The sequence below is a fragment of the Homo sapiens genome, chromosome 11, assembly GCF_000001405.40.
Source record: "Homo sapiens chromosome 11, GRCh38.p14 Primary Assembly".
NCBI lineage: Eukaryota > Metazoa > Chordata > Mammalia > Primates > Hominidae > Homo > Homo sapiens.
In genome coordinates, this window is record NC_000011.10 from 335116 (window position 1) to 360950 (window position 25835).

General features: G+C 48.2%; 7 annotated features.

Moving 5' to 3' along the window:
- Positions 15700-16176: a transcriptional cis regulatory region, noted in NCBI's record as "candidate enhancer chr11.30 targeted for multiplex CRISPR interference". NCBI's record gives its function as "positively regulates IFITM1 gene expression with high confidence in K562 cells {active_cell/tissue: K562}" and the evidence as "EXISTENCE:mutant phenotype evidence [ECO:0000015][PMID:30612741]".
- Positions 17925-17974: an enhancer, noted in NCBI's record as "active region_4272". NCBI's record gives its function as "activates an Ori minimal core promoter by ATAC-STARR-seq in GM12878 lymphoblastoid cells {active_cell/tissue: GM12878}" and the evidence as "EXISTENCE:reporter gene assay evidence [ECO:0000049][PMID:35858748]".
- Positions 18375-18541: a silencer, noted in NCBI's record as "fragment chr11:353490-353656 (GRCh37/hg19 assembly coordinates)". NCBI's record gives its function as "represses an EF-1alpha promoter that drives an FKBP-Casp9 reporter gene in an ReSE screen in HepG2 liver carcinoma cells {active_cell/tissue: HepG2}" and the evidence as "EXISTENCE:reporter gene assay evidence [ECO:0000049][PMID:32094911]".
- Positions 19204-19780: an enhancer, noted in NCBI's record as "NANOG-H3K4me1 hESC enhancer chr11:354319-354895 (GRCh37/hg19 assembly coordinates)". NCBI's record gives its function as "activates a minimal SCP1, AML or CMV promoter by ChIP-STARR-seq in naive H9 embryonic stem cells {active_cell/tissue: H9 hESC(naive)}" and the evidence as "EXISTENCE:reporter gene assay evidence [ECO:0000049][PMID:30033119]".
- Positions 19286-19575: an enhancer, noted in NCBI's record as "active region_4273". NCBI's record gives its function as "activates an Ori minimal core promoter by ATAC-STARR-seq in GM12878 lymphoblastoid cells {active_cell/tissue: GM12878}" and the evidence as "EXISTENCE:reporter gene assay evidence [ECO:0000049][PMID:35858748]".
- Positions 20762-21714: an enhancer, noted in NCBI's record as "H3K27ac-H3K4me1 hESC enhancer chr11:355877-356829 (GRCh37/hg19 assembly coordinates)". NCBI's record gives its function as "activates a minimal SCP1, AML or CMV promoter by ChIP-STARR-seq in naive H9 embryonic stem cells {active_cell/tissue: H9 hESC(naive)}" and the evidence as "EXISTENCE:reporter gene assay evidence [ECO:0000049][PMID:30033119]".
- Positions 21010-21329: a silencer, noted in NCBI's record as "silent region_2997". NCBI's record gives its function as "represses an Ori minimal core promoter by ATAC-STARR-seq in GM12878 lymphoblastoid cells {active_cell/tissue: GM12878}" and the evidence as "EXISTENCE:reporter gene assay evidence [ECO:0000049][PMID:35858748]".

Sequence of the window (25835 nt, forward strand, 5' to 3'; positions counted from 1 at the left end):
CTTTTTTTTTTTGAGATGGAGTCTCGCTCTGTGGCCCAGGCGGGAGTGCAGTGGCGCGATTTTGGCTCACTGCAACCTCCGCCTCCCGGGTTCACGCCATTCTCCTGCCTCAGCCTCCTGAGTAGCTGGGACTACAGGCGCCCGCCACCACGCCCGGCTAATTTTCGGTATTTTCAGTAGTCAGGGTTTCACCGTGTCAGCCAGGATGGTCTCGATCTCCTGACCTCGTGATCCGCCCGCCTCGGCCTCCCAAAGTGCTGGGATTACAGGCGTGAGACACCGCGCTCGGCATAACTTTTCTAAAAATTTATATTTATTCATTCATTCAACAAATACACACACACACACATATACACATTTTTTTCTTAAGATGGAGTTTTGCTGTTGCCTAGGCTGGTCTCAAACTCCTGGCCTCAGGCTCTCCTCCCGCCATGCCTGGCACCACAAAACTTGTTGAGTCCCTCCTTTTTGTTGTTAGGGCTCCAAATGTGATCTTCAAATACGGCCCTTTGGCATGTTGAGTACTTGGCTATGGAGGCACTAAGGGCCCCTCAGAAGCAAAAGCCTCTCTGACCTTCTCCTTCCCTCCTATTTCCTGCCCCATTTTCTCCCCAGTGTGAATCACAGAAACCAGAATTCCTTTTCCCCACAGAAAATAGAACTCCTCTCCCCCAAAGCAGGCCGAAAACCTGGAAGGTCACTCTGTCCCTTTCCCTTGGAGGCCTTCCTTCCAAGAGGTCCTGCCCCCATGCGTGGGAGGGAGGAAGGGGCTTTGCAGGGGAGGCTGAGAAGGCTCCCCCCTCAGCCTTCCCGCTGGCTTGTTCCCGTTTCTGCACAGCTGCACATTCTTCATCTAATCTGAGCATAAAGAGCTTCCCTGGGTCTCTGGGTCTTCTGTGTCACACACAACTTGGACGCAATAAATGTGCTCTGCTTTCCTCTTGTTAGCTGTGTGTTGTTGAAGAGTGTCGCTGTGACCCTGTGACGGGTGAAGAAAGGTCTCACAGCCTTTCTGCTCCCACAGTGCCAAGACTTGTTGCACGTGATGAAACAAACCAAAACACCCTAAAATACTGCGGGTTGTTGAGAGGACGAAAGTTAAAACACAGGGCGATGCTCTGTCCCTCTCTCTGCTTGCCTGATGGCAGGACAGCAAGTTACAAAGACTAAGGGCTTCCTGGCCTCCTCTCTGCCTTTCGCACCTGAAGACACTTGTATATCAGCTCAGAGACAGAGAGATTCCAGGAGGAGATGTTGCTCTTCCCGTAAAGGTTCCTCCCCACATTTTCCTGCCTTTGTCTTGTTCCCATAGGATTTATGGCTCATGTTAAAATACTATTTAAGTAAGGCTCCTAAGCCATTGCAGAGAGAGAGAAATACTTTTAACCTGAGGCCTCTCCCGTGAGACAGGTACAGCAGGCATCAATAAACTGCTGTTGACTTTTCTCATGTTAATCTCACTTTTATTTTCAGGAGACTGTCTCAACTAAGAACCTAGGAGGGAAAGAACAACGTTGTATCTTCTCCCCTACAGTGGTGGGCACACGGTGTGGCCTAGTGCGCTCTTGTGATGGGGGGTCTTAAGACCCACACTGTTCATTCGCCCCATTCACTTCCTGGACTTAGCATACCTGGAGCTCCTGGTACCACGCACCCTTTGGCAAACCTTCCCATATCCCTTTGATCTCTCACTCCCTTCCTGATGGCATTACCCAGATCTTCAGGCTTTGTACAACCATATTTTCCTTCATCTTTGCCCTTTGTATCTACCTTTTTATTGGCAGTGGTTTGTTCCTAATAACAGATTTCACAAACACATTTGGTCCCCAGACTTCTCCTGTGGCCTGCAGCATTTCCTGGATTTCTGTTTTTTGTTTTTGGTATTTTTTTCTTTTTTGACTTCCTTCTTCAAGAATGTTTTCAATGCAGATGTGAGGGAGAGACACATTCTGAGGCTTTCTGGAAATATCTTTATTATGCTCTTAGATTTGAATAACAATTTGGCTGCATATAAAATTCTAGATTTTTTCCTTCAATTCTGTAAAGTATCACCCTATAATCTTCCTATTTGTGTTAAAATATAAACATAAAATCATGAAAAAAAAATTTTTTTTTTGAGGCAGAGTCTCGCTCTGTCGCCCAAGCTGGAGTGCAGTGGCGTGATCTTGGCTCACTGCAAGCTCCGCCTCCCGAGTTCCCACCATTCTCCTGCCTCAGCCTCCTGAGTGGCTGGGACTACAGGCGCCCGCCACCGTGCCCGGCTAATTTTTTGTATTTTTAGTAGAGAAGGGGTTTCACCGTGTTAGCCAGGATGGTCTCGATCTCCTGACCCCGTGATCCACCCGCCTCAGCCTCCCAAAGTGCTGGGATTACAGGCGTGAGCCACCGTACCCGGCCATGTCGGGTTTTTAAAAGTCTACAACTCTTTCTCTTTTTGAGATAAGGTTTCACTCTGTCACCCAGGCTAGAGTGCAGTAGCATAATCATAGCTCACTGCAGCCTCAAACTCCTGGGCTCAGGCGATTCTCCCACCTCACCCTTTTGAGTAGCTGGTACTACAGGGATACCCTGCTAATTTTTTCTTTTTTAGAGAGGGGTTTTTGCTATGTTGACCAGGTGAGTTTCAAACTCCAGGCCTCAAGCAATCCTCCCACCTCGGTCTCCCAAAGTGCTGGGATTGCAGGCATGAGCCATCACACCTGGCACTAGAACTATTTTGAGGGGTGGGGGTGAGGGGACAGGGTGTTACTCGGCTGCCCAGGCTGGAGTGCAGCGGCATGATCATGGCTCACAGCAGCCTTGACCTGGGTTCAAGCAATCCTCCCACCTCGGCCTCCCAAGTGGCTGGGACCACAAACATGCATCACCACACCTAGCTAATATATATATATATATATATATTTTTTTTTTTTTTTGGTAGAAAGAGTCTGGCCATGTTGCCCAGCCTTAGAAGTCTTTTTAATTTCTTTTTCGAGATGGAGTCTTGCTCTATCGCCCAGGCTGGAATGCAGTGGTGCGATCTTGGCTCACTGCAATCTCTGCCTCCTGGGTTCAAGTGATTCTCCTGCCTCAGCCTCCCGAGTAGCTGGGACTACAGGCATGACCTACCATGCCCGGCTAATTTTTTTGGATTTTTAGTAGAGACGGGGTTTTGCCATGTTGGCCAGTCTGTTCTCAAACTCCTGACCTCAGATGATCCGCCCGTCTCGGCCTCCCAAAGTGCTGGGATTACAGGCGTCAGCCACTGCTCCCGACTAGAACTTTTAATACAGAATTTCAGATTTGACTTTGAAAACCTCTTGAGCCTAGAAAGCCATGCCATTCCATCAGACTTTTCCTGCAATACTGTATTAGTCCATTTTCATGCTGCCAATAAAGACTGAGCAATTTACAAAAGAAAGAGTTTAATTGGACTTAGAGCTTGCAGTGAGCAGAGATTGTGCCACTGCACTCCAGCCTGGGCGACAGAGCAAGACTCTGTCTCAAAAAAAAAAAAAAAAGCACACCTTCATACCTTATAATTTTTTTTTGTTTTTTGAGACTGAGTCTTGCAATCTCTGCTCACTGCAACTTCCACCTCCCGGGTTCAAGCAATTCTTCCCCCTCAGCCTCCCAAGTAGCTGGGATTACAGGCGTGCACCACCACATTCGGCTAATTTTTGTATTTGTAGTAGGGATGGGCTTTCACCATGTTGGCCAGGCTGGTCTCGAACTCCTGACCTCAGGTGATCCGCCCCCCTCAGCCTCCCAAAGTGCTGGGATGACAGGCTTGAGCCACCACAACCAGCCTCTTATAACTTTCCTTACCCAAAATTCGCCTTCCTTTGTTTGTATATTCTGCATACAGAGCTGCTTCCCTTATTATTTCTCGTAATTTTAATTACCATATAATTAGAATTCTAAACACTTAGTAACTTTAAAAGCTTTTCTTATCTTTTTTTTTTTTTTTTTTTTTTTTGAGTCAGGGCCTTCTTCTGTTGCCCAGACTGGAGTGCAGTGGTGCTATCACAGCTCACTGCAGCCTCAACCTCCCAAGCTCAAGTGATCTTCCCACCTTAGTCTCCCAAGTTGCTGGGACCACAGGCATGTGCCACCATGCCCAGCTTTTTTTTTTTTTTTTTTTTTTTGAGAGGAGTCTCACTCTGTCACCCAGGCTGGAGTGCAGTGGCGCGATCTTGGCTCACTGCAACCTCCGCCTCCCGGGTTCAAGTGATTCCCCTGCCTCAGCCTCCCGAGTAGCTGGGACTACAGGTGTCCACCACCATGCTCAGCTAATTTTTGTATTTTTAGTAGAGATGGGGTTTCACCATGTTGGCCAGGATGGTCTCAATCTCTTGACCTCGTGATCCACCCACCTCAGCCTCCCAAAGTGCTATGATTACAGGCGTGAGCTACCACACCCAGCCCAGCTAATTTTTATTTTTGGTAGAGATGGGCTGGTCTGGAACTCTTGGCTCAAGTGATCCTCCCACCTCAGCCTCCCAAAGTGTTGGGATTACAAGCATGAGCCACCACACCAGCTATTAACCTTGGTTTCTAGTGAAAACTAGCAAGTAAACACTTGTCAACTTTTTGCATACATACCAACATTCTGCAGATTGGCAAATCTGTGAATATACCATGTCATAATTTCTAGAAGTGTGTGTTTCTTTATCATACAATTTTTCAATATGGCACAGGATGTGTTTGCTGGCAGAGACAAGTATGTTTAGTACTTCTATAATAAGAAGCCAAAAGTAGACAAGCTTATGTTTAGCAATCAAAGTTTCAGTATTTTATGTTATTCAAAAAAAATAAGGTTTAAAAAATATCTTTCTAGATAGTCGATGAATAACCATCATTTAATTTAACTTGACTCTAACAGTGCAAGCTACCAAAGAGAATCGGCAAGCTGCTTTTAAGTAGATGTTTCATAACAGCAGACAAGGCTAGACATCATCAAATTGCTTTTCTTGGTGGCAACTCTTGTAACAGAGATAACATAAGTTTTTGCCTAATAAACCTAGGTAAAACCAAAGTTGTGTGTCTGCGTTTTATTTAATGCTGACAACTCTAAATATTTCATTAAACCAGAAAAGTTTAAATAGCATTTATTTACCAACTATAATCTCAGATGACATGAAATTTAAAAAACATTTGGGTTAGTTTCTATATTTCTAAGAGTTTAAGGATAACTCAACTTATATAAGCTCATATTTTTCTTTAAGCCAATTAAATACCACTTTTTTATAAATTAATTTTGGCAACGCAATCTAGAGTAGGAAAATGTCACGTGTACATGTATACATAGACATACATAAACATACAGACAGAAGCAGATCATATAGCTTTCTTTTTTTTTTTCACACTCTTCAGACACTAGAGTGTTACAGCTTCATTCTAAAATCTTAGCCACATGCCAAGCACAGTAATACAAAACACACTGTTTAATACAAGAACAATAGGCTTCAAATCTTGTTTCTGGCACATGGAACAAGTCAAAATTACTTGCCAGATGATTAAAGCTTTTATTAATATTTGCGGGAAAGACTTAAGGTTTTTCATTTGCCCAATTTCCATATAGCTCTTTTTTTTTCTTTTCTCATAAGATGGCTTCCCAAAATTTGCATATCAAAGAGATAACCCTCAGGTGTTTGAGCAGAGTAGAAAATTTACATCTCAAAGGCACAGAACTTAGACTTCAGCCTTAAATATCTTCATTTGAAGAAGAGAAAAAAAGAAAGAAATGAAAAAAAGAAAGAGAAAGAGAAAAGAAAGAAAGGAAGAGAAAAAAAGAGAAGGAGAAAGAAGGAAGGAAGGAAGGAAGGGGAAGGGATGGGAAGGGAAGGGAAGGAAAGGAAAGAAAGAAAAAAGCAAGCAAGCAAGAACAAGGAAAGAAAGAAGGAAGGAAGGGAGGGAAGGGAAGGGAAGGGAAGGAAAGAAGAAAGAAAAAAGCAAGAACAAGGAAAGAAGGAAGGAAGGAAAGAAAGAAAAAAGAAAGAAAGAAAAAGAAAAGGAAGGAAGGAAAAGGAAAGAGGAGGAAGGAGGGAAGGAAGAAAGGAAGGAAAGGGAAGGGAAGAAGGAAGGAATGAGAAAGAAAGGAAGGAAGGAAAAGGAAAGGAAAGAAAAGAAAAGAAAAAAGAGAGAGAAAGCAAGCAAAGCGCTAATTAAGCCAAGATGGGGGTCAGAAATGCACGCTAAGTAAAGGTAAGTTTTGTGATGTAGATTTAAATCAATGCTTTCTCCATTCTTTTTTTTTGTTGTTTACTTTGTTTTGTTTTGTTTTGTTTTGAGACAGAGTCTTATTTTACAACCCGGCTGGAGTGCAGTGGTGCGATCATAGCTCACTGCAACCTCAAACTGTTGGTTAAATTTCTTTGTAAAGATGGGGTGAGAGGGTTTGGATTTGTGTCCCCACCCAAATCTCATGTCAAATTGTAATCCTCAGTGTTGGAGGAGGAGCCTGGTGGGAGGTGATTGGATCATGGGGGCAGACTTACCCCTTGCTGTTCTCAGGATAGTGAGTTCTCATGAGATCTGGTTGTTTAAAAGTGTGTGGCACCTCCCCCTTCTGTCTCTTCCTCCTGCTCCAGCCATGCAAGACGTGCCCCCTTCCTCTTCACCTTCTGCCATGATTGTAACTTTCCTGAGGCCTCCCCAGCCATGTGTCCTCTTTTCTTTTGCCTTTTTTTTTTTTGAGACACAGTCTTGCTGTGTCACCCAGGCTGGAGTGCAGTGGCGCGATCTCAGCTCACTACAACGTCCACCTCCCAGACTGAAGCAATTGTCCTGCCTTAGCCAGCTGAGTAGCTGGGATTACAGGTGCACGCCACCATACCTGGCTAATTTTTGTATTTTTAGTAGAGATGGGGTTTCACCATGTTGGCCAGGCTGGTCTCAAACTCCTGACCTCAACCTGCCTCAGCCTCCCAAAGTGCTGTGATTAAGGCATGAGCCACCACACCCAGCCTAAACCTCTTTTCTGTATAAATTACCCAGACTCAGATAGTTCTTTACAGCAATGAGAGAAGGGACTAATACACCGACTCTTACTATGTCACCCAGGCTGGTCTTGAACTCCTGGGCTCAAGCAACCCTCCTCCCTCAGCCTCCCAAAGTGCTGGCATTATAGGCATGAGCCACCACTTCTATCTCCTTTATAGAATTAAATTTTTCTTACAAAGGGTCTCAAAAGAATTGGATCAAAATAATCTTTATGCCAGAGTAGCACATTTGGGGCCTACGTTGGCTAGATCAGAGGCTTCTCAGCCCAGTTTATGCTTTTTAACTCCATCACTGAGTTCAGGGTGGCGCCTACTGATGAACTGGCAAGCATTTTCCATGCCTGGAGTTAGCATGAATAGGCCAGGATATAATTCTACATCATCAGCAAATTTCTGGGACAGGGAAACCTTTCACTATTGTTCTGAGCTCAGATTTTAATCAAGATGTCAATGTGGTTAAAGAAGGAAGGCCTGGTTGATCTAAAGGCCTAACACGATGAAAGTTTGGCTAACTTTCTTTTTGCCTCTGGGGTATAAAAGTTACTGAGCAAAAAAGTGAGTAGTTCAGAGCAATCTGGCAGAGCAAGATGGAGAGAAAGAGAGAAGGGCTCATCTGTGCTGAGTCAGTAGACATGCCCTTTTTCATTGTCAATTAACTGCTTTGGTTTTCTATTTGCCTTTTTCTATGGAGTCTTTTAGAGAGACAACTTGGGATTCATTTAGTCTTTTAGCAGCCTGTGCATGCCAATCAAAAAATCATCTGGGCATGGAGGTTCTCGCCTGTAATCCCAGCACTTTGGGAGGCTGAGGCAGATGGATCACTTGAGCTCAGGAGTTCGAGACCAGCCCGGCAACATGGCGAAAACCCATCTCTACTAAAAATACAAAAAATTAGCTGGGCTTGGTGGTGCATGCCTGTAGTCCCAGCTACTCAGGAGGCTGAGGCAGGAGAATCACTTGAACCCAGGAGGTGGAGGTTGCAGTGAGCCGAGATCACACTACTGCACTCCAGCCTGGGTGACAGAGTGAGACTCTGTGTCAAAAACAACATGTGAATTAAAAAATGCATTCCATTTTCTCTTAGTTGCTTTGGATCCCATCTTTTGCAGTGGATACCACAGATGAACAGCTTTGTCTAGGTCATCACTTACCCACTGCGGCCACCACTTAATTCTAAGGTGTCTTTGGTAAAGTTCACCAGTTTCTCTAGACAAGTACTGGTTCTCAGGTGGAGGAATCTCAGACTCTGTGGATTCAGATAAACTCATTATTCTGTCTTCCCAAACCCTTACCTATGTGAAGATGCCTACTAGGCCCAGTTCAGTTTCTGATAGATCCAGTTTGACGCTAGATCTAGTCTGGATTTTTTTTTTTTTTTTTGAGACTGAGTATCACTCTGTCGCCCAGGCTGGAGTGCAATGGCACGATCTCGGCTCACTGCAACCTCCGCCCCCCGAGTTCAAGCGATTCTCCTGCTTCAGCCTCCCGAGCAGCTGGGATTACAGGCACCTGCCACCACACCTGGCTAATTTTTGTAGTTTTAGTAGAGACAGGGTTTCACCATCTTGGCCAGGCTGGTCTTGAACTCCTGACCTCGTGATCTGCCCACCTCAGCCTCCCAAAGTGCTGGGATTACAGGCATGAGCCACTGTGCTTGGCCCTGGAATTTTTTTTTTTCTTTAATGCTCAAATAAAGTTGGAGATCTTAGGATGAAAGTTGTGGAACTTGCATGAAGTAGAAAAATTAGGCCAGGCACGGTGGCTGACGCCTGTAATCCCAGCACTTTGGGAGGCCAAGACGGGCAGATCACCAGGTCAGGAGATCGAGAACATCCTGGCTAACACAGTGAAACCCTGTCTCTACTAAAAATACAAAAAAATTAGCTGGGCGTGGTGGCAGGCGCCTGTAGTCCCAGCTACTCGGGAGGCTGAGGCACGAGAATGGCGTGAACCCGGGAGGCAGGGCTTGCAGTGAGCCAAGATCGCACCACTGCACTCCAGCCTGGGCAACAGAGTGAGACTCCGTCTCAAAAAAAAAAAAAAAGGCAACTGCCTTCTTTGTCTGGTGCTCAGACTTTCAGGACGCATGTCTGCTGAGCCGGTGTACACCTTAAATAAACTCTCCTTCACCCCGTTCCATCTCTCCAGCTTCCCGATTTCCTGCAACAGCATCCAGGAGGGATCTACTGGTGGGGATTCCACATCAGCAGCAAGAAAGCAGTGAGTACAGAGGCTCCACAGGCGTCCACACCAGATTCTTCATTGCTGCCAGGTGTCTTTATGGCCAGGAGGAGACTCTTCCAGGTCTCCCTTCTGACACCTGAACTGCTAAAAAGATAAACAGACACATTAAAAAATTTTAGGGTCTATTTTAGCAAACAGCAATTCATGAATTGGGCAGCTCCAAACTGCAAGTCATTCAGGGCTCCCGGAAAACATTTACAAGGTACACATGGAAGCAAAATTTATAAAAAAAAATTGGGCCCGGCGCGGGGGCTCATGCCTGTAATCCCAGCACTTTGGGAGGTCGAGGCGGGCGGATCACGAGGTCAGGAGATCGAGACCATCCTGGCTAACACAGTGAAACCCCGTCTCTACAAAAAACACACACACAAAAAAAATAGCCGGGTGTGGTGGTGGGCGCCTGTAGTCCCAGCTACTCAGGAGGCTGAGGCAGGAGAATGGCGTGAACCCGGGAGGCAGAGGTTGCAGTGAGCCAAGATCGTGCCACTGCACTCCAGCCTGGGTGACAGAGCAAGACTCTGTCTCAAACAAACAAACAAACAAATAAACAAAAAATTGATTGGTTAAATTAAAGCAGTAGCTTCAAAGTCCTTAGTTTGAAGCTGCGTTTTCATGGTATCTAATGATTGTGTCTAGTTTGAAGTCATGTTAGGATCCAGCCATTCATGCTGAGTTGGGTTTCAGTTACCTTATCTAAGAACTCAGGGCACTGGGAGCGTCCTCAATCTAATGGCCTCCCAATTAATTATTTCAACATAATTTTCTGAGAAATCGGGTATCAATCTAATTCCTGTTTCATTGTAGGAGACCTATTTTTTCTTTCTGGAACTTTCTCTTTCTGGAACTTTTTCTTTGATACTCTTCAGTTTCACTGTGGTACATGAAAATGTAGGTTATTTCTTATCTCACCTCTTTGCAGCCTTTCGGTCTGAAGCCCTTCATCTTTCCTCAATTCTGGGAATGTTAGCTGTATTATTTATTCGGGTATTTCTTTCTCCCACTGCTTTTGGCTCCCCCTTCTAGAACATGGAATAGTGACAGGTATGCACCCCTCTCTCTTTCCCTCCTCTCAGCTCCGTGTTGCATGTGCCCTTTCTTTATTCTTCCACGATAATTCCTAGCACCATTCTCAACGGAGCTGGCGACGCAATGTCCACTCTTCAGTTGGGTCCATTGCCTTTTTATAATTCTGGCCGTCATAATACTATAAAAGCCAGCACTCCTTCTATCACAATCTGTTCGGTGGGGGAAAGGCTGTCACTTTCTTTCTTTCTTTTTTTTTTTTTTGAGATGGAGTCTCACTCTGTCACCCATGCTGGAGTGCAGTGGCGTGATCTCCGCCCACTGCAAGCTCCGCCTCCCAGGTTCAAACGATTCTCCTGCCTCAACCTCTCAAGTAGCTGGGACTACAGGTGCCCGCCACCATGCCTGGCTAATTTTTGTATTTTTACTAGAGACAGAGCTTCGCCATATTGGCCAGGCTGGTCTCAAACTCCTGATCTCAGGTGATCTGCCTGCCTCCGCCTCCCAAAATGCTAGGATTACAGGCGTGAGCCACCGTGCCCGGCCAAAGCTATCACTTTCTAAGTGCTTAACCTGTACCAAGCATGGTACTAAGTGCTTTACATATATATATTGAACACTCGTAACAACCTGCTGACATAGGTGCTGTTATTGGCCCAATTTTTCAGAAGGCAAAATGGAGACACAGAGAGAGGTTAGGCAATCTGCCCAATCTCACACAGCTGAAACACAGCAACAGGGTAGCGATCTGTGCCGGGAAGGTCGGCTGTAGGACCTGCGCTCAGTCATGTGCCACTTTGTTAGTCCACCTTTTGTATTATTTCTTTCCAGGTACTTAATATTGATTTTTTCTCTAACTTTTTATTTTGAAACAATTTAGGACTTACTGAAAAGTTGCAAGAACAGTACAGAGAGCTTCTGTACCTCCCTCACCCAGCTCCCACCACTGACAGCATCTTACATGACTGTAATATAATTACCAAAAGTGGGAAATTAACATTGGCACAGTGCTGTTCAATAAAGACCTTATTCAAATTTCACGGTTTTTTCACTAATGTCCTCTTCTGTTCTGTTCCATTTTGCATTTCATTGTTACTTCTCCCAGCCTCCTGCAGCCTGGGACAGTTCTTCAGTTTTTCCTTGTATTTCATGATCTGAACACTTTTATAGACTATCCACCAGTTATCTTGTAGAATATCACTCAGTTTGTGTTTGTTTGATGTTTTTCCATTTTGGAACGAGGTTATGCCTTTTTGGCAGTAATACTGCAGAAATGGGCTGGGCACAGTGGCTCATGCCTGTAATCCCAACAATTTGGGAGGCTGAGGCAAGAGAATCACTTGAGCGCAGGAGTTTAAGACCAGCCTGGGCAACATAGCAAGACCCCATCTCTACAAAAGAATTTTTAAATAGCCAAATGTGGTGGTGCATGCCTGCAGTCCAAGCGACTCAGTAGGCTGAGGCAGGAGGATCACTTGAGCCCAACAGGTGGAGGCTGCAGTTAGCCATGATCATGCCATTGCCCTCCAGCTTGGGTGACTGAAAGAGACCCTGTCTCAAAAATAATAATAACACAGAAATGATGTTTGGCGCGGTGGCTCACACCTGTAATCCCAGCACTTTGGGAGGCCAAGGTGGGCAGATCACGAGGTCAGGAGATCGAGACCATCCTGGCTAACATGGTGAAACCCCATTTCTACTAAAAATACAAAAAATTAGCCGGGCATGGTGGCAGGTGCCCGTGGTCCCAGCTACTCGGGAGGCTGAGGCAGGAGAATGGCGTGAACCCGGGAGGCGGAGCTTGCAGTGAGCCACTGCACTCCAGCCTGGGTGACAGAGCAAGACTCCATCTCAAAAAAAACAAAAACAAAACAAAACAAAACTTTACCAGGTGCACTCAAATGCAGGTTTCTTTGTTTTGGTGGGTTTTTTTTTTTTTTTGACAGAGTCTTGCTCTGTCACCCAAACTGAAGTGCAGTGGCACAATTTTGGCTCACTGCAACCTCTGCCTCCCAGGTTCAACTGATTCTCCTGCCTCAGCCTCCCCAGTAGCTGGGATTACAGGCATGCACCACCACACCTGGCTAATTTTTGTGTGTTACTAGTAGAGACAGGATGTCACCATGTTGGCCAGGCTGTTTTCGAACACCTGACCTCAGGTGATTCACCTGCCTCAGCTTCCCAAAGTGTTGGGATTACAGACGTGAGCCACCGTGCCCGGCCCTCAAATGCAGGTTTCTAATAACTTTGGAGATTGTGACATTAGAAAAGAGGGAAAAACTTTAGGACTCTCTTGGAGAGCTAAAATGTTCATGAATATCAAACAGGAGTTAACTGCATAGACTAAAGAAGTCTGAAGCTAGCCAGGCGCAGTGGCTCACACCTGTAATCCCAGCACTTTGGGAGGCCGAGGCAGGCAGATCATGAGGTCAGGAGTTCGAGACCATCCTGGCCAACATGGTGAAACCCCGTCTCTACTAAAAATACAAAAATTAGCCGGGCATGGTGGTGCTCACCTGTAGTCCCAGCTACTCAGGAGGCTGAGGCAAGAGAATGGCGTGAACCCCGGGAGATGGAGGTTGCGGTGAGCCAAGATCGCACCACTGCACTCCAGCCTAGACAGAATGAGATTCTGTCTCAAAAAAAAAAGAAGTCTGAAGTAATCTTTTTAACTTTGTTGAAAAGGTTGCTGATCTTTTGTTTTTCAGAGTCAAGAAAATTTTTCTGTTGAGCTATTTACAGCTTTTAGCAAATGAGTAAAGTATACTTCTGTAAACAAAATTCGGAGCGTATCTGTTTCTATCTGCCTGATTTGGAAACTATTTATATTCTTAATTTATGGCAATATAGTTATTTGCATAAGTGCAATAAGAATCTATTTTCTTTTGCAACAGGACACAATTGGAGAAATTGGTTATTTTACCAAGGCTTTGACTGGAATGGTGTGCTTTCTTTTAAGGAATGAAATTTGACTTGTAAAGTCAATAAAAGCCCTTGGGAAACTAGCCTCACACCTTGCCTGCTCAGTCCCCGGACAAGGTTTCTGATCTGTAATAAGTAAGAAATGTCACTTTCTTTCTTTTTTTTTTGGAGATGGAGTCTCTGTTGCCCAGGCTGGAGTGCAGTGGCGCAATCTCGGCTCACCACAACCTCCGCCTCCCTTGTTCAAGCGATTCTCTTGCCTCAGCCTCCCAAGTAGCTGCGATTATAGGCATGCACCATCACGCTTGGCTAATTTTTGTATTTTTAGTAGAGACGGGGTTTCACCACGTTGGCCGGGCTGGTCTCAAACTCCTGACCTCAAGTGATCCGCCCACCTCGGCCTCCCAAAGTGCTTGGATTACAGGTGTGAGCCACAGTGCCTGGCTAAGAATGTCACTTTCTAAAAGGTCTAGGAGCCCCAGGTTATCTTGGGACCCCAAGAGGAGAGGAATTTACTCAACTCACAGATATTTGAGGGCAGAAATCCATGGCAGGGCTCAGCTCTAAAAAAGTCTTATCTAAGATTCCTTCTATGGAACAGAGTTCCATCAAAGCCAATTTAAAAAAAAAGCTTATCTAAAAAATAATTATTCTTGCTGCCCTTTATACAAATAATCAGGCCAAGTGTAATAAAGCAAATTGGTCATACCATGATTTGTCTTTAGTAAAAATAGGAAACTAGAGAGAAAAAAGTTATATTTCAAGAACTATGGTACATGTGTTATTAAATTCTAGTCTCATCAGTTGTGTTGTTTGCATTTAGTGAACTTAATATCTGACATGCATTATTTGGACCAAATTTTTAAATTTTTGAAGCTATTTCTATTTTACCAATAATCTTTAAAACTGTCTTTATTTCCCAAAGATTATTTAAGTCACATGAACTAAAAAGCATTGCACTTTTAACTTTTCTGACAAAATTTTTTATTTAAGCTCTTATTATTAAACCAATTAATTAAAGCTCTTTTATATTCCACACACAACATGTACAAAAACACAGACAAACAGAAGTTAAAGACCCATCCCCTAAGCTGGGAATTGAACCCTGAACCCGGGCCGCCATTATGATGGCAGAAACCAAGAGAAAGTACGGCCACGTGGTTACAAGGCCAAGGTCCCAAGGACATGACGGACCAGAGGGAAGCCTCGTCCAGTTTACACACACACACACACACACACACACACAACACACACACCCCCACACACACCACACACACACCACACACACACCACACGCACACACACACCTCACACACACACACCACACATACCACACACACCCCACACACACAACACACACCCCCCACACACACACACCACACACACACCACACACAAACACCACACACACACCACACACACACCATACACACACACCACACACACACCACACGCACACACACACCTCACACACACACACCACACATACCACACACACCCCACACACACAACACACACCCCCCACACAAACACCACACAAACACCACACACACACCATACACACACACCACACACACACACCACATACACACCCACACACACCCCACACACACACACCCACACACACCCACACACACACCACACACACAACACACACCCCCCACACACAAACACCACACACACACCACACACAAACACCACACACACACACCACACACAAACACACACCACATACACACCCACACACACCCCACACACACACACCACACACACACCATACACACACACCACAAACACACACCACATACACACCCACACACACCCCACACACACACACCATACACACACCCACACACACAACACACACACACACACACACACACAGAGACAGAAGTCTGACTGGTGAGCAGTTCTTGCACTTGTGCCAGCATGACAGATTTCTGGGTTTCTTTTCCTGGGGGGCCCTAGTGACCCAACTGTAGCAGGACTAGCTGCAGACAAAACCCCTCAGACACCGAGTTAAAGAAGGGCTTTATTCGGCCGGGAGCTTTGGCAAGAGTCAAATCTTCAACAGCCGAGCTCCCCGAGTGAGCAATTCCTGTCCCTCTTCAGGGCTCACAACTCTAAGAGGGTCCACGTGAGAGGGTCGTGATCGATTGAGCAAGCAGGGGGTATGTGACTGGGGGCTGCATGCACCGGTAATCAGAACAGGACGGGACGGGGTTTTCACAGTGCTTTTCTATACAATGTCTGGAATCTATAGGTAATATAACCGATTAGATCAGCCAGCGGTCGATCTTTAACTACCAGGCCCAGGGTGTGGCGTTGGGCTGTCTGCTTGTGGATTTCATTTCTGCCTTTTAACTTCTTTCTCTGGAGGCAGAAATTGGGCATAAGACAATGTGAGGGGTGGTCTCCTCCCTTACGACTGGCTGTACCACAGCCCTGGGGGCCAAGCTGCAGCACAAAGGAAGTTACCTCTTTCCGTTCTGGCCAGGGCAAAATACGTGTGAGAAAACAGAGACATCAGCCACTCTGCTTAGCACCTAACATCACACTGGCAAGGCTCAAACTTGCTCCGGTCATCGTTAATCCAACCTCCAACCACAAGTTTCAACACGTGTTCTCTGGGCAAGTCGGTTGCCCCAAGTGATAGAAAAGATAAAAAAGAGAAAGGAGAGAGAGAAAAGCATCGCCTGAGGCAGGGTGGGGAAGGCAAAATGCTCAGGGAGGCCAGAGAAAGACCCGCCCATTGCAGGAACCCTGAGGACTTCAGGCGGCTGCTGTTGGGAAGGGACTTTTTCCGGCAGTCCCATCAGCTCTCAGGTTCCCCTTTTGCGAGAGGAGAAAGCTCCCCATGTTCCACGATCCTGTACGTGCCTAATCCTGTCACCCACAGCCGTCAGCAGAGAGTGCAAGGCAGATTAACCCAAAGAGAATAGCCGTTAACGTCCCCTCGTGCCGAACCCGTTCTCAGCCGAGAGGGACTTTTCTGAGAGGGACTTTACTGAGGGGGCTCTCTAAGCCCCTAAATCTTAAAAGGGACCCTAACCAACCCTCCTAAGGTGGGTCTCTAACCCAAGGTGGGTCAAGCATCCTTGCCTTGTATTAAGAGTGGGCTTTCACCCTCTCTGTCTTAGGACAGACCCTAACTCCCCTAAGTGGGCCTCTCACCCAATCCCATCCTTCGCCGGCTACCCCACCACTTACCCAGCGTCGTCCAGTCAGGGCCGAGTCTATTTCCTTTGGGTCGGGGGCTCCTCCTCAGTATTGTCCCTTCAGGGTTTGCCAGAAAGATGTTACCGGACCCCACTACTTACCCAAAGTTAGCCTTTAGGTCGGGGGTTTCCGCACTGGAGCCCCTCCTGAGGTCACCAGAGATATGTCACCTACCCAACGCTAGGTTTTGAGTCTGCAGTTTTTCTTCTGTGGTCGCCAGAAAGATGTTACCGGAAAGGGGTCCCGATCCAGACCCCGAGAGAGGGTTCCTGGATCTCATGCAAGAAAGAAATCAGGGGGAGTCCATAAAGTGAAAGCAAGTTGGCCGGGCGCAGTGGCTCACGCCTGTAATCCCACCACTTTGGGAGGCCAAGGCGGGCGGATCACGAGGTCAGGAGATCGAGACCATCCTGGCTAACACGGTGAAACCCCGTCTCTACTAAAAATACAAAAAAAAAAAAATTAGCTGGGCGTGGTGGCGGGCGCCTGTAGTCCCAGCTACGCGGGAGGCTGAGGCAGGAGAATGGCATGAACCCCGGGGGGCGGAGCCTGCAGTGAGCCGAGATCGCGACACTGCACTCCAGCCTGGGCGACAGCGAGACTCCGTCTCAAAAAAAAAAAAAAGAAAGCAAGTTAGTTTATTAGGAAAGTAAAGGAATCAAGAATGGCTACTCCATAGACAGAGCGGCCCCGAGAGCTGCGGGCTGCCCATTTTTACGGTTATTTCTTGATGATATGCTAAACGAGGGGTGGATAATTCATGCCTCCCCTTTTAGACCATGTAGAGAAACTTCCTGACCTTGCCATGGATCTGTAAACTGTCAGGACCTTGGTGGGAGTGTAGCGCTGAGGACGACCAGAGGTCACTCTCGACACCATCTTGGTTTTGGAGGGCTTTGTCCGGCTTCTTTACTCCAAACTGTTTTATCAGCAAGGTCTTTATGACCTGTAGCTATTGCCGACCTCCTATGTCATCCTGTGACTTAGAATGCCTTAACCGTCCGGGGATGCAGCCCAGCAAGTCTCAGCCTCATCTTACCCAGCTCCTAATCAAGATGGAGTTGCTCTGGTTCACATGCCTCTGACAGAACAGTCTCTGCTGTTTCGCCCTCTGGACCAGCCAGAACATTTCTCTCCCTGTCTCTCCACTCTCCCTGGGATGCCACTAGGTCTCTGCTCCTGAGAGCCAGGGTGTTCACCTTGGAGGCACACGGAGTCCATTTTCCACCTTGTGTGACTGTGTGCCTGGTGCTAGTGAGGCAGGAAAACAAGGCCTGGAGACAGGGAACATAAGACCGATTCACACCTCAGCTATGACAGGAAATATCCTCTCCATAGGGCCTGCACCCAGTAAATGACTTTGTAACTTTACTTCATCCTCTCCATTTACAGAGGGCGTACACCAAGTAACCAACGGAATCCTCTAGAAGGTATTTAAACTCCCCAAAATTCTGTAATGGGGCCCTTGAGCCCCATGCTCCGGCCGCTCCCACGCTGTGGCGTGTACTTTCCTTTTCAGTAAATCTCTTCATTCCTTCCTTCCTTTGTGGGTTTTGTCCAGTTCTTTGTTCAAGAAACCAAGAACCTGGGCAACCTCAACAGGTAATGATATGAAATTCATATTCACCCAGTGACTCTGAGCCCTTTTTAAAGAAGAGAGACTTTGGGTGTGTTACTTTACCTCTAGAGGGGCTGAAAGGTCCCCCCAGCTGGGAAACGAAGGCCCAGCCCGAGCTGCTATTGGTGGGCGGCACCCAGGCCATGAGAGCAGAAGACGCTCAGAAAGATCTCTTTCTAAACAAATCAAAGCCCAGTTTTGTTTTTGTTTTTCTGGCTTTTTGTTTTTTTGTTAAAGCAAAGTATCAGACTGCGAATAGACACCAGTTTCATCTCAGACTCACTGCTGGAGAACCAGCAAATCCCTGTGTCTGCCCGGCAGGTTCCTATGGAGAACCTTCGACTGGTTTCCAGGGCAGGAAGCCAGGCCCAACTCTGTGGACTGAGCCAGTGAATCGGCCTCAGGCCAGGCACAGAGCCGGCCCCAGAGGCTGGGGTGAAACACGAGCTGTGAGCTGCAAATCAGAAACAGAGCGACAGGACACTATTTTCATGACGAGGTTCTGGGTTTTTCCCTGATGTTTGTTTCCTCGGTTTTTTTGTTTGTTTTTCCCTTCCCAGTATTTTTGGACTTGAACTTTAGAACTTCAACTTCTCTGAGGTTTAGCTTGGCGGGAGGAGGGGGATTAATTACCGTACCGTAATTTCTCCTGGGATACTGGATTTGGGAAAGGGTATATATCCTAATTTGCCATTCTGAATTGGTTGCATTTGATTAAAAGCATGACTTCTATCATGGAGGGTCCAGCCCTACGGGGCTTGGCGGGTGTTCTCCCCGTGTGTGGAGACGAGAGACCGGAAGAAATAAATACACAAGACAAAGAGATAGAGAGAAAACAGCTGTGCCCGGGGAACCACTACCACCAAGATGCGGAGACCGGTAGTGGCCCCGAATGGCTGGGCACGCTGATATTGATTGCATACAAGACAAGGGGGCAGGGTAAGAACGGTGAGTTGTCCAAGTGATTGATAAGGTCAAGCAAGTCATGTGACCATAGGACAGGGGCCCTTCCCTTACAGGTAGCGGGAGCAGAGAGGGAAGGCAGCATACGTCAGCGTTTTCTTCTATGCACTTTTAAGAAAGATCAAAGACGGCCGGGCGCAGTGGCTCACGCCTGTAATCCCAGCACTTTGGGAAGCCGAGGCAGGCAGATCAGTTGAGGTCACGTGGCCAAGACCAGCCTGGCCAACATGGTGAAACCCTGTCTCTACTAAAAATACAAAAAATTAGCCACGCATGGTGGCAGGCGCCTGTAGTCCCAGCTATTTGGGAGGCTGAGGCAGGAGAATGGTGTGAACCCAGGAGGCGGAGCTTGCAGTGAGCCGAGATCGCACCACTGCACTCCAGCCTGGGCGACAGAGCAAGACTCTGTCTCAAAAAAAAAGAAAAAAAAAAAGAAAGAAAGAAAGATCAAAGACTTTATTTCTTCTACCGCTATCTTCTAAGAACTTCAAAGAGGAACCAGGAGTAAGGGAGGAGCATGAAAGTGGACAAGGAGTGTGATCATTCAAGCACCACAGGGAGGGGGTTAGGCCTCCGGATGACTGCGGGCCAGGCCTGGAGAATATCCAGCCTCCCACAAGAAGCTGGTGGAGCAGAGTGTTCCCTGACTCCTCCAAGGAAAGAAGACTCCCTTTCACGGTCGGCTAAGTAACGGGTGCCTTCCCAGGCACTGGCGTTACCGCTTAACCAAGGAGCCCTCAAGCGGCCCTTATGTTGGTGTGACAGAGGGCTCACCTCTTGCCTTCTAGGTCACTTCTCACAACGTCCCTTCAGCACCTGACCCTATACCCGCCGGTTATTCCTAGGTTATATTAGTAATGCCACAAAGAGAAATATTAAAAGCTAATGACTAATAATGTTTATACTGATTGATAATGTCCACGATAAAAGCTAATGATTAATAATGTTTATACTAATGATTGATATGTCCATGATCATCTCTAATTTGTATTATAACTATTCTTATTCTCTTTATTATACTGAAAGTTTGTGCCTTGTCTTTTTTTTTTTTTTTTTTTTTTTTTTTTTTTTTGAGACAGAGTCTCGCTCTGTCGCCCAGGCTGGAGTGCAGTGGCGCATCCGGGCTCACTGCAAGCTCCGCCTCCCAGGTTCACCCCATTCTCCTGCCTCAGCTTCCCGAGTAGCTGGGACTACAGGCGCCCGCCATGTGCCTTCAGTCTTTTGCCTCCGCACCTGGGTAATCCTCCGCCCACACTATCACATGCCCTGAATAATGGGGTTAAGAACAATTTGGGGTGGAAAACAGGGTAGGAAGGGAACAGATGGCTCAGAACACAGGAAGTTAATTTAACTGCAGTCCAGGGAGGATGGCATTCTGGAAGCCGAGTCGGCCTGAGGTCTAAGGGGCGGAGGGAACTCCAAGCTTGGCCTGGAGCTCAGGGAAGGGAGCTCGCGTGGACTTCAGGAGCCCGGTGGGTGCTTCCTGTGCACAAACGGGCAGGGTCTGAGCTCCCACCGTCTGGAAATGCTGCCCAGTGGATTTCAGCCTCATTTTACCCAGCTCCCAATCAAGATGGAATTGCTCTGGTTCAAACGCCTAGCTTCGCCAGCTAGGGGGTGAACCGGCCACAGATCCCCGGAGGCCAACAGAAGACAGAGCCCCTGGGTCAGAGGCAAGGACGGTTGACTTCTCAGGCAGGGAGGTGGCCAAGGGAACCGCTTCTGCGGCGGCTTCCCAAGCCCCAGCTCCCGCAGAAGGCCTGGAGGGGCCCGGGGACCCGTGCCACGCAGTGAGTGGCGGCAGGACACGAGCCCGGGGGCGCAGCTTCCTGGACACTCTGCCCCCAGACACTGGCTGCCACGCGGGACGGTGACCAGCGCTGCCCTCGGCGCCCGGGAGGCCTCCCAGGGCTGTGCGCCAGGAAAACATTCCCGAACCGACGGCCGGGAATGGAACGGGGCGGGGCGTTTCCCAGCCCGAGGAAAACAGCCCTGAAAGCGCGGCCAGGAATGGATGGGGGTGGGGCGTTTCCCAGCTGCTCTCCAGGGAGCCGCCTGGAGCGGGGGAAGGGGGGGGCGGCGCGTTCCAACGGTGGGGGGGCTCGTTCCAACGGTGGGGGGGCGGGTCTGCGTTTCGGGCCCCCAGACACGCAGCACGCGGAGGAGCGCCCCGCCCCGTCTAGAGCCCCTTCCTCCACAGCAGGGCCGGGGCGCAGGGGGTCTCCCCGCACCCAGCGCGTCCCGCCCCGTCCCGAACACAAAGGGCTCTGCCCGTCCGCGCTCCCACGAGGCGGCCCCTCCCCGCTTCCGGCCGAGGTGCGGTCGTCACTTCGGGGAAACGGAGAAAGCGCCTGGGGGGCGGGGCACACACACCATGCACATACACACCCCACACACACGTACCATGCACACACATATACACACACCACATATATACATGTCACACACATACCATGCACATACATACACACACCACACACATACACACATCACACACACACCATGGACATACACACACACCACACAAGCACCGTGCACACAAATATACACAAACCACATACACACGTGACACACATACACACATGCAACATGCACACACACCACAAACACATGCACCATGCACACACATACACACCACAAACATACATACACACGCATGCACCATGCACACACATATACACACCACGCACATACATGCATCATGCACGGACACACCCCACACATATACACATGCACCATGCACATACACACCACACACACACGCACCATGCACACACATATACAGCCACCACATACATACATATGTCACACACACATACACAGGCACAGTGCACATACATACACACCACACACATACACACAGCACACACACATACACACATGCACCATGCACATACACACATACACATCACAACACACACACCACAAACACACCACACACATCACACACATACACAGCACACATACATACACACATACACACACATACCATGCACACACATATACACACATACCACACACACGGGCACCATGAATGTACACACACACCACAAACATACATACACATATACACTCACACACAGGCACCATGCACATACACACCACATACATACACACATACACTCACACACAAGCACCATGCACATACACACACAACACATACATACACACCACAAACATGCATACATAGATACACTTTTACACACACACTATACATACCACACACATACACACACCACAAACACACCACACACATACATACATCACACACATACACAGCACACATACATACACACACACATGCACCATGCACACACATATACACACAGACTACACACACCACACACAGAGGCACCATGCATGTACACACACCACAAACACACATATGTGCACCATGCACATACATATACACACACCACACACAAAGGCACCATGTACATACACACCACAAACATACATACACACACACACCATACACATACACACAACACACACATACCACAAACACACAACATGCACACAACACACACATACACACCATAAACACACACAATGCACACACCACAAACACGCATACATACACACTTTTACACACACACACCATACATACACCCACACCACACACAACATACACACACCACAAACACATACACACACGCACACCACACATATACACCACACATATACACATATACCACACACACATGCACCATGCACACACATACAGACAACATACACATACACATCACAGATATGCACCATGCTCACAAATGCACATACACACCACACATACAACGTACACACAGGCACCACGCACATACACACACACCATGCATACACACATATACCCACATATACACCACATACACATACACACACTAAACACATACACATGCACACACACGTACACATACACACGTATACACATACACATGCACACGCATACACACACAATGTAAATATGCCCGTGGACCCAGGGTCCAACTGAGTGAACTCCCACAATTTGAGCAACACCTCATTCTACATCCTAACCCAAAGTGTGCTGTAAATACCTACAAGTGCATGGCGATATAAATTTATAAATGGGGGAGAAGAGACAAATCTCCCGTGCAGAAGAATTCTAAACCAATGGCGTAGACACTGCCCCTAAGGAGGAGCAGAGCCCCTCCCAGCCCCTCGACGTGGGCTGGCGCAGGGCCGTCCTTCCAGAGAGCGCGGGGTGGGAAGGGCTGGGCTCCTTCCGCGCGGCTCCACCTGCAGAAACCGATGGAGCTGATCCATCGTGGTTTGCACAGAGGAGCCTGACGGGCTCTGTCTCTGCAGAAGACGAGGCAGGCGTCGAGTTATGAGTCGCACCGGCGATGTTAGGATGGATGCAGATGCTGCTTTACCTCTGGAATCTTCTTCCAAGAAACCTATAACCCCAGCCTCCTCATGACAAAAAGAGCAGGCGAATCTCAGCAGGGGCACCCCGCCAACACACCCGGCCTCTTCTGAGCTGTCCAGGTCGTCAAAAGCAAAACGGCCCAGCCCAGAGGCCCCGGGAGACAGACGCTGAGGAACGCGGTCCTGGAACACAGAAAGGATGTCAGGGAAAACAAATGAGGGACTCTGGACCAACTGTGACTTTATTTGGTCAATAACGCATTAATACTGGTTCATTCATTATAACAAATACACCGAACTAAGCCAGACGGTAAAAACGAGGGGAACTGTTGGTGGAGCTGGGGGGCGGGGAAGCTCTCTGTGTTATTTCTGTAAATCTCAAACCCTTCCGAAAAATAAAGTCCATTCGTTTTTTAAAAATGCTAAACTGGGGCCGGGCACAGTGGCTCATGCCTGTAATCCCAGCACTTTGGGAGGCCAAGGCAGGTGGATCATCTGAAGTCAAGAGTTTGAGACCATCCTGGCCAACCTGGTGAAATCCCATCTCTACCAAAAACACAAAAATTAGCCGGGTGTGGTGGCGGGCACCTGTACTCCCAGCTGCTCAGGAGGCTGAGGCAGGAGAATCGCTTGAACCCAGGAGGCGGAGCTTGCAGTGAGCCGAGATCACTCTACCGCACTCCGGCCTGGGCGACAGAGCGAGACTCCCTCTCAAAAAAAAAAAAAAAAAAAGCGAAACTGACTGTGTTGTCATGCCCCCTCCTCCCTAATTGTGAAAGGCACAATTAGGTGTTGCAGTGGGCCCTGGAAATGGGGTCTCTGCCGGCCCCAGCATGGCAGGACTGGGGTGGCACCTCATGTCTACAGACAGGAGGTGTGGCCCAGGCGGGATCAGCATGGCTCCACCTGCAGAAGCCCTTGGAGCTGGCTGAGCCATCAAGGCACCCCTAGGCATGGGGGCTGCCTGCTGAAGCCTCACTTGATCTGTGTCATCAGAAAAACTCTAGGTGTGGTGGATAGAAGTGAGTCAGTCAGCTCAGTCTGCCATTACAAAACACCACAGAACAGAAATGTATTTTCTCACCTTTCTGGCTGCTGGAAGCCTGAGATCAGGGTGCCAGCGTGGTCAGGTTCAGAAGCTCCAACTCACTGTGTCCTCCCAGGGCCTTTCCTCAGCACGTGCATGTCAGGGGAGAGACAGACAGAAAGAGAGAGAGAAAGAGACAGAGGGAGAGAGAGATGGGGGAGAGACAGAGACAGGACAGAGAGATGGGGGAGAGATAGAGACAGAGAGGGAGAGCGAGAGAAACGGAGAGAGAGATGGGGGAGAGACAGAGAGAGGGAGAGAGAGATGGGGGAGAGATAGAGACAGAGAGGGAGAGAGATAGAGGGAGAGAGATGGGGGAGAGATAGAGACAGAGAGGGAGAGAGACAGAGGGAGAGAGATGGGGGAGAGATAGAGACAGAGAGGGAAAGAGAGAGAAACGGAGAGAGAGAGACAGAGGGAGAGAGAGATGGGGGAGAGACAGAGAGAGGGAGAGAGAGATGGGGGAGAGATAGAGACAGAGAGGGAGAGAGACAGAGGGAGAGAGATGGGGGAGAGATAGAGACAGAGAGGGAGAGAGAGAGAAACGGAGAGAGAGAGACAGAGGGAGAGAGAGATGGGGGAGAGACAGAGAGGAGAGAAAGAGATGGGGGAGAGACAGAGACAGGAGAGAGAGATGGGGGAGAGATAGGGAGAGAGAGATAGAGGGAGAGAGATAGGGGAGAGACAGACAGGGAGAGAGACATGAGGGAGAGAGAGACAGAGAGAGATGGGGAGAGACAGAGAGGGAGAGGGAGATGAGGAGAGACAGAGACAGGGAGATAGATGGAGGACAGAGGGAGAGAGAGACATGGGGAGAGAGAGAGAATTTGTGGGGAGACAGTGCATGAGCTCTGGACTCCCCTGTTATCAGGGCATCAACCCCATCCTGGGGGCCCAGCCTCAGGACTTCATCTGACCCTAATCACCTCCCAAGGGCCCCCTCCAAATGCCGTCACACAGGCTTAGGGCTTCAACATACAGATTTGTTCAGTCCACAGCAAGAAGCCTGGGTTCCTCACAACAGAGCTGTGGCCCCTCTGCCAGTTTCCATTCTGAGCCAGTCCACGGAGCCAGGCCCTGAGGAAGGACCCAATGACATTGCCGAGGATTTTACTGTAAATCTCCTTCCTGGACTTCCCATGGGCCCCTAAGAACCACGCACCAGATGGCTATGAAGGGAACGAGAGATACAGACTTTTCAGGGACCTGGCTGTGCACGGACGTTAATTCCACGGTGGTATCTGCCTGGCAAAGCAGGGGCTTGTGGCCGTCAGGTGATCCGTGAGTTCTAGCTCAGATCTGTCTCTCGGCGAGGCCAGTGACCTGCTCTCTGGTTTTGGAATGCATCAGTGGCACAGACATCCTCAGAATCCTACATTGGTCCCTGACCC